The sequence below is a fragment of the Homo sapiens genome, chromosome 11 (assembly GCF_000001405.40).
Source record: "Homo sapiens chromosome 11, GRCh38.p14 Primary Assembly".
NCBI lineage: Eukaryota > Metazoa > Chordata > Mammalia > Primates > Hominidae > Homo > Homo sapiens.
Window position 1 is genome coordinate 34,132,660 of NC_000011.10, and position 13,131 is coordinate 34,145,790.

The window sequence follows — 13,131 nt, forward strand, 5'->3', positions numbered from 1 at the left end:
TAATGGAAGGCTTGAAGAGTTGGTGTTAGAAGTGGTGACAGTTTTTCCTGAAATAGCAGCCTCTTATCTGTAAAAAGTTCACTTCCTAGCTGTGAAATAAGTAGTGCTAAATAAATTCTCTTCTTCTGTCCAGCCTCAGTGCTCGGGGTGAGAGGACAGTAGGCATTTGAGGCTAAGTTCCACTTAACCTGTTATGAAGAGTCTCAGGCTTGCCAAAATACTAGAAAGGTGCTTTGCTGGACTTCTGCTCCTCACTTGGCTTTGGAGAAGGCCATACTGCAGTCATCCTGTGGTTCTGAATCGAACCTTTTGCGTAAAGGGCAAGAGGAAGAGTGCTTCTCACTGACCCGTGTTTGGCTTCCACAGAACTCTCCCAATGATCTCCAGATGCTCTCCGATGCACCTGCTCACCATCTCTTCTGCCTTCTGCCTCCCGTGCCCCCCACCCAGAATGCCCTTCCAGAAGTGCTTGCTGTTATCCAGGTATAGGAGCAGAGGCGTCCTTGTGGCAGTGATTTGGGGAACCACTGAGGCATCAGGAATTAGTGGCTTAATAACTGCATTGTGGGAGTTTTGAAACTGTGGAGTCCTGGTCTGGAACCAAGGGGCTGGGTCTGCTGAGACAGGTGACTAGGGTGCACTGGAAGAGGTTAGCGCCACTAGACACCCAAAGCTCCACTGTTGACGGACGGGGAAAAGCCAGAACCGACCGCTCTCTTATTTTGACTCACAGCTTCTTCCACAAACAGACTTGTTTGTTTTCTCCCTTTATTACAAAAGCAATACATGGTGCATTTTGAATTAGAGGCTACAGATTGGGGAACAAATTTTTAATGCCTAGCATGGATGTATTTATGCATTTCTATATCACTTTTCCTTTTCATATACATAGTAATCTGCTTTTATTTTTAGGCAGTGTATAAAACACTCATAATCTACATAAGTTTTAAAGCTGTGTAGTATTTCATTATATACATGTACCATGATTTGTTCAACCATTCACCTGTTAGACATTTTAGTTATTTTGAACTTGTGCTGTTCTGTACAGAGCCTCATGAGCATCCTGTGTCTTGATGGCCTTCACACACGCACAGCATACATAGAGACTCTCTTCTAATGTGGCTTTTACTTTTTGGGTCAGGAGGCTGTCAGTCTTCTGCCCTGTAACATGGGGCCTGGTAATTAAGCTCCTGTTAAGAATGGATGTGTCAGGCCAGGCGCCATGGCTCACGCCTGTAATCCCAGCACTTTGGGAGGCCGAGGCGGGCGGATCACAAGGTCAGAAGATCAAGACCATCCTGGCTAACACGGTGAAACCCCTTCTCTACTAAAAAAAAAAAAAAAAATACAAAAAATAAGCCGGGTGTGGTGGTAGGCACCTGTAGTCCCAGCTACTCGGGAGGCTGAGGCAGGAAAATGGCATGAACCCAGGAGGCAGAGCTTGCAGTGAGCCGAGATAGCACCACTGCACTCCAGCCTGGGCGACAGAGTGAGACTCCATCTCAAAAGAGCGGGGGGAATGGATGTGTCAGTGTCAGGGTTAAACCTGAACATGGGGGTGGAAACAACTGGCCTAGTTCGAGAAACAAGCTATATTCTGTGAGTGGGCTCTGTATCAGAGTTGGCCTTTCTGCCTGCACTGTCCTGCTTCCCCCACAGGTGTGCCTTGAAGGGGAGATTTCTCGCCAGTCCATCTTGAACAGTCTGTCTCGAGGCAAGAAGGCTTCAGGGGACCTGATTCCATGGACAGTGTCAGAACAGGTGACGGGCTTTCCCTGGTGTGTCTGAGGGAAGCTGGTGGTGTCCAAAGATGTCTGTGTTGCTAAGTTACTGGTTTGTGTCTCCCACACAGTTCCAAGATCCAGACTTTGGTGGTCTGTCTGGTGGAAGGGTCGTTCGCATTGCTGTTCACCCAGATTATCAAGGGGTAATGTGTCCTCAGGCTCCCCTGAAGCCGTGTTGCTGGCGGTGCTTTAGGGTGGGGGTACTTGGTGGCTGGAATAAGAAGCTGGTCAAGCAGAAGCAAGTGAAGTGTAGGCACTTCCCTGCTCTGGAGAATTGAGCCAGGGTTCGGGGTGGGTGGGTGGACAGGATGATGGCATATGCTCACTCTTCCTTTGTGAGAACGAGGACTTGTGAACCAGACCTGCATAACAAAATTACCTTCTTAGAACACCTCACTGAGTAATTGGCTGTAGAAACTTCCTTTTCAGGCAATGGTACAGAAACTGCCTCTCATTTGGGCTTGCCCATCTGGAGACCAGAAAGCACAGCCATCCTTACCCTCAAGTGGCTGTTCTTGATGAGCTAGACCAGTGTTAAGAACTCGGGTCACACTACTTTCAGTCTTAAGTGTCTCTGCTTTGACCTCACTCAGGGTTTTCATTGGTTCTCTTGCCCCGTGCTGTTTGACAGGGAGGGAAGGTTCTCTAGAAGCAATGCAGGGGAGTCACTGTGGCTTAGACTGAGAGCAGCTCTCTTCCCTCGGCCTCTTCCCCTTCACGTTTGCTCCTAGATGGGCTATGGCAGCCGTGCTCTGCAGCTGCTGCAGATGTACTATGAAGGCAGGTTTCCTTGTCTGGAGGAAAAGGTCCTTGAGACACCACAGGAAATTCACACCGTAAGCAGCGAGGTAAGCATCTTTCGACAGACCTCCTGTGTCCTGGTTCTTGGGAGGATAATTCTCTGGGTTTTTAGGGGCATCAACAAAAACCAGTCCAGAGCTTTGGACCCCTCTCTCATTTTCTTCTGCTGCTTTCTCCTACCGAACACTTTAGATCCTCAGATCAGTATCATTGGGATCATCTGGCAGCTTGTTAAAAATGTAAATTCTTGAGCCCCACTCCAGACCTACTGAATCAGAAACTCTGGGGTAGACCCTGTAATCTGTAGTTTAACAAGATTCTCAGGTGATTCTGATGCTCATTCAAGTTTGAGAATCACTGCTCTATAATCTCTTTCATCCTACACCAGACTAAGGGAAGTTCTGTCATTCCTTGATAAGAATGACTAATACTAGTAACTGTGACAGCCTTTCATGTGCATTCATTGATTTTCATAGTATGTATATTTGAGAGCTAGACAAGGGGCTTTTATTTAAGTTGAGGCAGCTGGGCAACATGGCGAAACTCCATCTCTACAAAAAATACAAAAATTAGCCGAGCATGGTGGTGCACGCCTGTAGTCCCAGCTACTTGGGATGCTGAGGTGGGAAGATTGCTTGAACCCCAAGGTTGAGGCTGCAGTGAGCTGTGATCTCGCCACTGGACTCTGGCCTGGGTGACAGAGCCAGACCCTGTCTCAAGCAATGAAAAAAAAAGTTCAAGCTCAGAGGTTTGTCACTTCCTAAGGCTGTCAGGTGATAGAACCTGGACTTCATGCTGGATCACAGGAGCCTGCCTGTCCCTTTGTAAATCTGTTGGGCATTTTTTTTTTTTTTTGAGATGGAGTCTTGCTCTGTCTCCCAGGCTGGAGTGTAATGGCGTGATCTCAGCTCACTGCAACCTCTGCCTCCCAGGTTCAAGCAATTTTCCTGCCTCAGCCACCTGAGTAGCTGGGACTACAAGCACACACCACCGTGCCTAGCTAATTTTTGTATTTCCAGTAGCGATGGGGTTTTGCCATGTTGGCTAGGCTGGTCTCAAACTCCTGACCTCAGGTGATCCACCCGCCTCAGTCTCCCAAAGTGCTGGGATTACAGGCATGAGCCACCACTCCCGGCCTCTGTCAGTCGTTTCTAAACTCTTTGGCTGTCTTCCTGCATTCTAGAGGTCTGAAGCAGTGTGATTCTATGCATGTTGAGGTGTTTTGAGAATGATTGCTTGACTCCGGTGTTCTCATAGTTTGAAAACCACAGCAATAAACCAAGAAACCTCTCCCAGTTTTTGTTGTGCTAAGTCCAGAGTGCGCTGCGGCAGGGTGCTTGACGATGTCTCTCTCCCTCTGCTGAATGGACTGTGTTCTCTCCTTGGCATCTTCCCAGGCTGTCAGCTTGTTGGAAGAGGTCATCACTCCCCGGAAGGACCTGCCTCCTTTACTCCTCAAATTGAATGAGAGGCCTGCCGAACGCCTGGATTACCTGGGTGTTTCCTATGGCTTGACCCCCAGGCTCCTCAAGTAAGTGCCTGCCCTCCTTCCACGGCATCACTCCTTGGCATTGAGAAAGAAGAGTTCTGTGGGCTGTGTGTCTCTGTTGGTAGCTGGTATCGGTGCTAGCCTGCTATTTGTGGCGTGCTCTTCCTGGCTCTTGCCCTTGTGTGTCTATCAGCCACTCCCCAGAGGCCACACACAGTGACCTACTGTCTTTGTATCTTTGCAGGTTCTGGAAACGAGCTGGATTTGTTCCTGTTTATCTGAGACAGACCCCGGTGAGTGAGGCATCCAGCAGAGGAGAAGTTTAGGTTTACCGTTATGGTAGGTGACAGGCCTGTCCTTGCAAAGAGCCCTAGTGCCTCCCTGCTGCATCGCTCTGAGCAGGTGGCTGTGCCTCTGAAGAGGTTTATTCTGATGGACATGGAAACAGCCATCCTCAGTGACAGGCCACATCATCACACATTTCTTCTCCGACTACACGGTGCATGCGTTGAGCTTAGTCATAAAATGGCAGAGGTACACGTGGACTTGTTCATCAGATTCTGGGAAAGGAGAGTGGACAGGAGGATCAAGGGTAATTCCTAGAGTTTTGGCTTGAGAAACTGGGTGTTGGAGGTGCTGTCGGAGATGGGACTCACTGCAGGAGGAGCAGATTTGGAGGGAAGAGTGGGAGTTCTTTTTTGATGTTAATATGAGATGCCTATTGGACATCCAAGTGGAAATGTGGACTAGGCATTCATTTGACTACAGGAATTTGGAGGTAGGGAAGTTTGGGGCTAGAGATGGAGCTTTGGGAGCCATCAGCATATTCATAATAGAATGCACTGCAGGAGGGCACGGAGCTCTTGTCTGTTGTGTTCATTGCTGTATTCCTCGCACTTAGAGTAGCAATTGCTGTGTAGTTTGTGTTCAGTAAATACTTTTGTTGAGTGAATGAAAAATATCTGGAGCCAATGAAAGGATGTGAGAGTGACTCCTTGGACCCTAACGTTTAGAGGAATGAAGAGGAGGACACAGCACATACAAGACTGAGAAGGAACAGCCCTGATGCGCAAGAGAAAGTCGGGTGTGGTGTCACACGTCAAGGTGAAAAAGTGGGAATGGGAGTCAGCCCTGTTGAGAGGATGAGGAGGATGAGGACAGCTGGCCATTGGATTTGTCAGCAGCGGTGAGCTGCATTGAAGCAGCTGCAGTGGAGTGGAGGCTTTGGCCTGGCCAGAGGGAAGAGGAGGTGAAGAACTAGAAGGGGAACAGGCGACTCTTTCAGGAAGCGAAAGGGAGCAGAGAAACAAGGTCGCTGGAGGGAGATGGGCGCTAAAGAAGGATTGTCCGATGGGAGATTCTAGAGAATGTTTTTTGCTGCTGGGTTCGATCCTGCAATTAGTGGTATGGGTGAGGGGGGCTGACTGCCAGAGTGCAGGCCTTGAGGAGGTGGTGGGTGGGACTCGAGATTCAGGAAGAGAGGTGACCACCTACTTCATCCTTCGGAACAGGGAAGGCAGAGAGCGTGGGAATGGAAGGCATCAGTTGGCTGGCTGATCTGGGGTTGGGAGGATGAAGACATTGTCTTCTGAGTGCTTCTGTCTTCCCAGATGAGGGGAGTCCATCGGCTGAGAGGGAAGTGTTGGAGGTTTGATTTTGGAGAGGGCAAAGTCAGTATCAGAGGCTAGTGTCCAGTGTCCGTCCGAGGGTTTAAAGTGGGACTGGTGAGGACTGCTGGGTGTTGGGCTGCTTCCGTGCAGGCAGGGAGCTGCAGAGATGGGTTGAGTCTCTGTCAGTACATTTGGTGGAGGCTGAGGATGTAAGTTTGGCTGTCAGCTGCAAGGAGAACGCAAGCTAGTGAGCTGTGGTGTGGTCTGCGGTGTGTCCGTGTGGTCTTGCACTGTGCACTGTTCATTTGTGACTTGGTGGTGTTTTTATGGTGTGGGGCTTTGTTGTTATGGAGTAAAAAATGTAAAAATAGTCACAATTTTAACACCTAAAGAAGCCTGCACTTGCAGACTGGCTGCCAGCACTGAGGTGTAGGTTTTGGCCCTGGAGTTCCTGCTGTGAGGCATCAAACCCATGTTGACTGGATTGTGTGGCGCTTAAGCCCTAATGACTGAGTTCAGCATCTACCTGAGAGGAGCACATATTTCCCTCCCGCACGTCCCGAGCAAGAGGCAGGCCCAGAAGAGCCAGCAGCTCTTCTCTGTGTCTGTGACACTTTTGAGGAGATTGCAGGACAGTGATCTTTGCAGCTGTTGTGTGTGAACTGAGGTGATATGAGGAAGGTGAAGGCGAGGGCTGTTTGAGAAGGGCGCCTACCCCCAGCCTGGAAAGAAGGAGAGGCCTGCGGAAGCACTAAGCCTTTCTTCTCTGAGTGTTTACCCTTCATCAATGATGGGTTATTCAAAAAAAGGGGGTTCTTGGTGCCAGTTAAACCTCTGTGTTGCCCAGAATGACCTGACCGGAGAGCACTCGTGCATCATGCTGAAGACGCTCACTGATGAGGATGAGGCTGACCAGGGAGGCTGGCTTGCAGCCTTCTGGAAAGGTGACTGAGGAGTAGGGGTTTGGGGGAGACAATGAGGTGATTGGGGGCTGCCGGGGATGCCTCCAGACCTCTAACTCTGCGTGATGGCACCCCACAGATTTCCGACGGCGGTTCCTAGCCTTGCTCTCCTACCAGTTCAGTACCTTCTCTCCTTCCCTGGCTCTGAACATCATTCAGAACAGGAACATGGGGAAGCCAGCCCAGCCTGGTGAGCCGGGTGGGGACAGGGAGGAGGGTTGGGAATGGCTTGGCTGTGTGGGAGGTGGGTGTGGTGTCCTAGGAAGGGTTTGGGCTGGAAATTGAGGGACTGGTTCTAGCCTGCAGTCACTCGCTGGTCACCACCCGCTTGCCAGGCCCCTGCTCTGTCCCAGGCTGTGCTGTCTTTCATTTTCATGGTAAGACTCTGGCTGTGCAATTTAATGTCAGAGGTGTCCATTTAGTTCATGTAGCTGGTTGGTTATGGAGGCCGATTTACATCTGTGCTCTAGGGGAGTGAGGTGCTCCATCTCTGAGGTTTAGTTTCCTGATTCATGAAATTGTAATAAGAATATGCTGCTAGCCTTCTGTAGCCAACAGCACACAGAAGTGCTTTGTGCATACAGATTGTTTGAATACTTAAAAAACAAAAAATGTGTAAGAGATTAGTTTTATTGCATATTTTATATATAAATATTTAGGTATAGCATGCATATATGTGTATATGTGTGTGTATATACTTTTTTGCCAATTATATTTTGATGGAGAAATCCGTATATCTTGAGCTGGGCAGAGCTTACACACTTTCTGTGACACCAAATGAAGTGACAAAGCAGGGAAAGAGTGTAGTTGTGTTCCCCTAACCCTGGGCCACAGGGAGCTTTTCCTTGGTCCATGTGTTCAGTATGGGAACTGAGCAAGGGTCCTGTGGCAGCCGTCCCCTCCCCACACGTGGCCTGGAGCCGCCCCTTCTATGGCAGGAGCAGGTTTGGTGCCCCTCTGGGCCAGGGCTGTGTGGTATGGCTGCCAGGCCCTGTTAGATGCTCCTGTGTGTTAGGGTGCCGCCTGGGGGCTGTGTGCTATCTCATGAGGGCGCCGGGTGACCTAACCTGTCTAGCTCTCTATCCCATGGACAGCCCTGAGCCGGGAGGAGCTGGAAGCACTCTTCCTCCCCTATGACCTGAAGCGGCTGGAGATGTATTCACGGAATATGGTGGACTATCACCTCATCATGGACATGATCCCGGCCATCTCTCGCATCTATTTCCTGAACCAGCTGGGGGACCTGGCCCTGTCTGCGGCTCAGTCGGTATGCTATCTGTTGCTTGCGTGGAGGAGAAGCGAGGATTGTGGAGCTGTTCATTTGCTGGGTGTTGGGTTGGGCACTTGGACATAATTGTGTGCCTTTAATTCCTCATACATCTGATAGGTGGGTAGTGGCATCCTCATTCTACAGGTCAGGAAACCTGGGCTCTGAAGTCGAGTAATGTGTCCAGCCATACAAAGTGAGAGAGCTGCAGCTTCCACCCCACTACGTTGCCTTGACACTTAACTCCACCTTAGCAGAGGTTCAGGAACATCCCAAACTTTTAATGTAGTTGTGAAGCAGGTATTTGTCAGGATAAAAGTTACTTTGGGGATTTTAGGAAGACAGCATTTCTTGGTGGTCTCAGTAACAGGATGAAAGAGAAGATGCCAATATACACAGTGCTAGTCTACCTTTGTACCAATAGCTTTGGTCAAGAGAGTACTCTGGTTCTTGGCGCCATTTTAATGGGCAAGGGCGTGTCCTAGAGGCCCACCCAGCAGATTTTCCATCCTTTAGGCTCTTCTCTTGGGGATTGGCCTGCAGCATAAGTCTGTGGACCAGCTGGAAAAGGAGATTGAGCTGCCCTCGGGCCAGTTGATGGGACTTTTCAACCGGATCATCCGCAAAGTTGTGAAGGTAACCTCAGCCTGAGGGCAGGGGCTTGATGTCTCTCAAATAGTGCAACAAACCCACTCCCTGCTCCCGAGATGAACACATGTTAGCATTTAGCTGTGTTTGCTGCATCTCGTCACACACACACACACACACACACACAAATCCAGGACTTCAGAACACATGTTAGCATTTAGCTGTGTTTGCTGCATCTCATCACACATCACACACACACACACACACACACACACACACACACACACACACGTGCGCGCGCAAATACAGGACTTCAGCTCTAAAGAATCTGTGAAGTTCTGTGTCCTCTCCCAGAGGCATCCCTATTAGGAATTTGGTACATATCCAGTCTGTGTTCTTCAGCTCTTCCCGCTAATATCCACATTCCTAAACTGTAGAGTGTTGCTTTGTGTCTTCAAAATGCACACCTTTCTATAAGACACCAAGTGTCTGGGTCACGGGTGACTGGGTCCCTGCTGCTCCTTCATCTTCTGCTTCTCTGTTGGTTGTCTTTTGTAGCTATTTAATGAAGTTCAGGAAAAGGCCATTGAGGAGCAGATGGTGGCAGCGAAGGATGTGGTCATGGAGCCCACGATGAAGACCCTCAGTGACGACCTAGTATGTCCCTGCTCATGGCCTCGGGAGTCCCAGCATTTCCATCAGTTGCCTTAGGCTGTGAATTCAGACTGTCTTCCCCTTCCCCTTTAGAAAGAGTCCTCTGCACTAATTGAGCTAAGTGCTATTCTGTAGGTTTAATTGGACAAACGGACCCAGCATTGTCTGAGCACACACAGGCCTAGAGTTGTGCCTCCCACTGATTGTGTGTGTGTGTTGTGAATGTAGGATTCCAGCATCTGTTGGAAATGTTTTGTCTTTTTTGGTGACTTCTTAAATGCATAGTTTATAACAGAGCTACCTTAAAATAATCAAAGCTGCCTACAAGGTTTTTGCAGGTAGATGGAAGAGAAGGAAATGTTTTCTCATCATTGTGCCATTCCACCCCAGCTTCACCTTTTCCTGTGTTTGGTTCAATCCTTGACTCTGACTTAGTCTCTTTATGGGTCCTTAACCACAGGATGAAGCAGCAAAGGAATTTCAGGAGAAACACAAGAAGGAAGTAGGGAAGCTGAAGAGCATGGACCTCTCTGAGTAAGGCTTGTGGGAAGCAGAGGGTTTGCCTTGGCTTCTGGGGCCCTAAGAATCTGCCTACACGTTTCTTCTAATCATATCCCACGTGCCCTGGAAAGTGTCTTTCATGGGATCAGTTTTAGGGATGCTAACAGTTCTATTTGACCTTCTAATTGCCTGTTTGTATAATTTTGGAAGAGTTGGGTTCCGGAGACTAGTGCCGCCACTTTGACTTACACATTGCACTCTCTGATCCCCAAGGCTCCAGGTCACACCTCGGGTCCTTCCAGGAGTGGGGGTGCCGATTGGATGAGCAGGCCCTTTAATGGTTACTTACTCTATTTGGCTTTTACGTGTGACTTTGTTTGAAGAAAGGATTCTACTGCTAAAACCAACCAAACAAGCAAAACACCCCTTGCTCTAAAACCGTCTGGGAATCCTAGTCCCTTTTGTGCTTCAGCTGTAGTGGTGCTGCCTCTCCCTCCACTGCCTGGATTGATGTGAATAATAACTCCAGAATTCATGGCCTCTGAGCCTCTGTGACCTGTAGTCCTGTTTCTGGGTCATTAGTGATGGTGGCTGCTGGGTATGTGAGGTGGAGGTGGCCAGGAGTCCTTGGACAGAGAATCGAGCTCTAGTTTTTGCCCTCAGCTTTGCAATATCAAAACCTTGATTTGCCAGGACTGCTAAATCTGAAAGAGAAGGGAGGGAGGGGAGAGGCACAGTTCAAGGGCTTGTGGACAAATGCTTGGAGGTGGGAGTGAGTGAGAAGATTGTGGGGGTGACAGGAAGCTTCTTTGGTGGATGTTAATGAGAGTCATGTGGGAAGAGCCAGGCAGGCTGCCTTCTGTGCAGGACTGTCCTCACTGACCCCTGCCAGCAGGCCTGGTGACCCTCGCTCCTGTGGAGCTTCTATCCATAGAGCTAAGCACCATGTCTCTTGGCCCTCCTGCATGCTTGTCCCCTCTGTCCTTTCTGCTGTTCAAATGCTGACACAGCTCAGCCTGGCTTTCATGACAGGAAGTGTCTGATAAGAATGTTGTCACTGTCGTTATTTTCTCTTAAGCAGTCCCCTCTTCTTTCTAGCAGGCTTTGATAGTTCCCTTCTTTTTTTTAGATACATAATCCGTGGGGACGATGAAGAGTGGAATGAAGTTTTGAACAAAGCTGGGCCGAACGCCTCGATCATCAGCCTGAAAAGGTGAGGGCCCAGGGTCTGATGTGCATCTGGCGGAAGAGGCATTCTGGCCTCTCTGCTTCTCTTTAACTTTGACTAGAAAATAGGAGGTTGGAGCAAAAGCTTTGACAGAAAAGTCATGGTTCTTCCCTTTGAGAGTCCCCTGGCCATTACCCTTGCAGTGCATGTCCCACAGACCAGGAGGGCCATCTCTTAGGCATGGATCTCTTCACTCTTTGTATTTGTCAGCCATGCCAGGGCACTGGGCCTGTCATGGAGAAGGGCTTGAGGGAACAGTCCAGAAGCTGCCACTGGCTGAGACTTGCTTATGGGCTTTCATCATTCAGCCCTCAGGATGACAGCATAAGGGGGCTGTTTTATTACTGTCATTGCTTTAAGATGAAGTAACAAGGCTCTCAGGGGTTAAGTTCCCAAGAAGCACACAGCTAGTGAGAGCCGGAGCCAGAATCAAGTCCAGGTTTCTCCACTGCAAGGCCATAGGTTTAACTGTTACGTTGTCCTTCCTTTGAGCCAGCAGTTCTCAAGGTTTTGGGTCTTTGAGTTCCTTTATCTCTTAACAATTAAGGTCCCCAAAGGACTTTTGTTGGTTATATCTATGGAAATTTCCCATATTAGAAATGAAAAACTGGCCAGGTGCAGTGGCTCACGCCTGTAATCTCAGCACTTTGGGAGGCCGAGGTAGGAGGATCGCTTGAGCCCAGGTGTTCAAGACCAACCTGCGCAACATAGCAGACCCTGTCTCTGCAAAAAAATTTTAAAAAGAAAATAAATGAAAAACTGAGAAATTTAAAAAAAATTCATTTGTTCACAGTAATAACGGACTCAGTCGTTTTGAAAAATACTCTTTTTCATAAAAATTTTGGTGAGAAGAGTGGCATTGTTTTACATTTACATTTTTGCAAATCTCTTCAATATCTGGCTTAACAGAAGGCAGCCGGATACTAATGTCTGTGTCTTCACTGACACTATTTTGCTGTCATATCTTATACTCTCTGGAAAACTGAATATTTGTGAGAGAATGAAAATGAAAAAAGGCAAATAACTGTTTTCATACTAATCCAAATACATTTTGACCTTGTGGACACCTGAAAGGGTCTTAGGGACCCCAGCAGTCCCTAGACCACTCTTTGAAAATCTTCACTCCAAGCTTCTTATCTGCAGAGTGGTGCATTTGTAAATAACTTAGGCTGGAACCTTCATCAGTTTTCCCTGGGAGTACAATGAGGCCTCCCCTGCCCAGAGCCACTGGAATTGAGGCTTTCACAGCTGATTTGGGGGTTGATGGGGAGGGTGAGATTTTGGCAATCCCCTATTTATTGGTTTCCTTAAAAGCTTATATTTTGGAAACATTCGGGAAGAGGAAACCTTGTGTCTCTAGGAACTATAGATCCCAGAAATCAGGTACTGTCTTCCAGAGTCTCCGTTAGTCACTGTGGCATCTTGAAGGATCCAGCATCGATGCCGGCCTCATTTCCCAGATGCTTTGTGGTGCAGCACAGAAGCCCACTGTCAGTGTGACCTGTCTCTGTTTTGTACAGTATGGCAAATGTAGCACAGGGCCCATGATGGCTTTGGCCTTGAGCACGGTGGCTTTGACTGGAACAAAAGGCCGGGGAGCATGCTTGCTGTGGAGACGGCCTCAGCTCCTCACTCTGCAGAGCTTGGCCTTTCCTGCCATTTGTTTGGCCATTGCTGGTAGTGAGAAGCCTCTCGAGCCCAACAAACCAGTGTTGTGTGGTTGTTCATGTGCTTGATGGCTCTGAGTAAATGTGAAAGCTTGAACTTTGTGAGCTAAAAATACTGGTAGCTATCATTAAGTCCTCTGAGGCCTTTCTTTTTCTTCCTTTGAGAGGTACTTCATTCATATGATGTTAATGGTCTCTGGACTGAACTCTTCACGGTCTCCTTATAGGGAAGTATTTGTTCCCAGAGCAAAATTTAACCTGTAAGTTTCTTAATGGCAGGTGGCCGTTTGCTGAGTGATTCCTATGCCAGGATATCAATGAAGAATCCAGGGGCTGGTCGCAGGGTGTCACCTGAGTTACTGTTGTTTGGGTTTTCTTCTTCTCATATAGGAAAAATAAAATAATAGTAGCACATCAGAAAGTATGGCAGGGTTTTCCTTGGAGTCTCATGCCTTGTATTAAGGACTGTCTTCAGGGTCATTGGGATGAATATGTCTAGTTTCCAGAGTCACTGCAGTGGTGAGAGTGGTGGTGGGGAATCCTTGTGGTGCCTTAGGTCTGTCTTGGGAGAGGGGAGCAG

General features: G+C 48.5%; 1 protein-coding gene across 2 annotated transcripts in view, besides 2 other annotated features; it reads left to right on the top strand.

Annotated features, from left to right (window-relative positions):
* Positions 1-13,131, top strand: part of NAT10 (N-acetyltransferase 10) — a 41,280-nt gene that overhangs the window by 27,031 nt on the left and 1,118 nt on the right. For both annotated transcript variants that reach the window (NM_024662.3, NM_001144030.2), the window contains 13 exons: positions 367-483; positions 1,660-1,761; positions 1,853-1,927; positions 2,516-2,632; positions 3,983-4,116; positions 4,319-4,367; positions 6,532-6,628; positions 6,726-6,836; positions 7,741-7,913; positions 8,430-8,549; positions 9,060-9,158; positions 9,616-9,689; positions 10,786-10,869. In NM_024662.3, coding sequence (NP_078938.3) covers positions 367-483; positions 1,660-1,761; positions 1,853-1,927; positions 2,516-2,632; positions 3,983-4,116; positions 4,319-4,367; positions 6,532-6,628; positions 6,726-6,836; positions 7,741-7,913; positions 8,430-8,549; positions 9,060-9,158; positions 9,616-9,689; positions 10,786-10,869 — 1,352 coding nt within the window. The remainder of the gene's footprint in view (positions 1-366; positions 484-1,659; positions 1,762-1,852; positions 1,928-2,515; positions 2,633-3,982; positions 4,117-4,318; positions 4,368-6,531; positions 6,629-6,725; positions 6,837-7,740; positions 7,914-8,429; positions 8,550-9,059; positions 9,159-9,615; positions 9,690-10,785; positions 10,870-13,131) is intronic.
* Positions 12,312-12,551: an enhancer, noted in NCBI's record as "active region_4593". NCBI's record gives its function as "activates an Ori minimal core promoter by ATAC-STARR-seq in GM12878 lymphoblastoid cells {active_cell/tissue: GM12878}" and the evidence as "EXISTENCE:reporter gene assay evidence [ECO:0000049][PMID:35858748]".
* Positions 12,782-12,951: an enhancer, noted in NCBI's record as "active region_4594". NCBI's record gives its function as "activates an Ori minimal core promoter by ATAC-STARR-seq in GM12878 lymphoblastoid cells {active_cell/tissue: GM12878}" and the evidence as "EXISTENCE:reporter gene assay evidence [ECO:0000049][PMID:35858748]".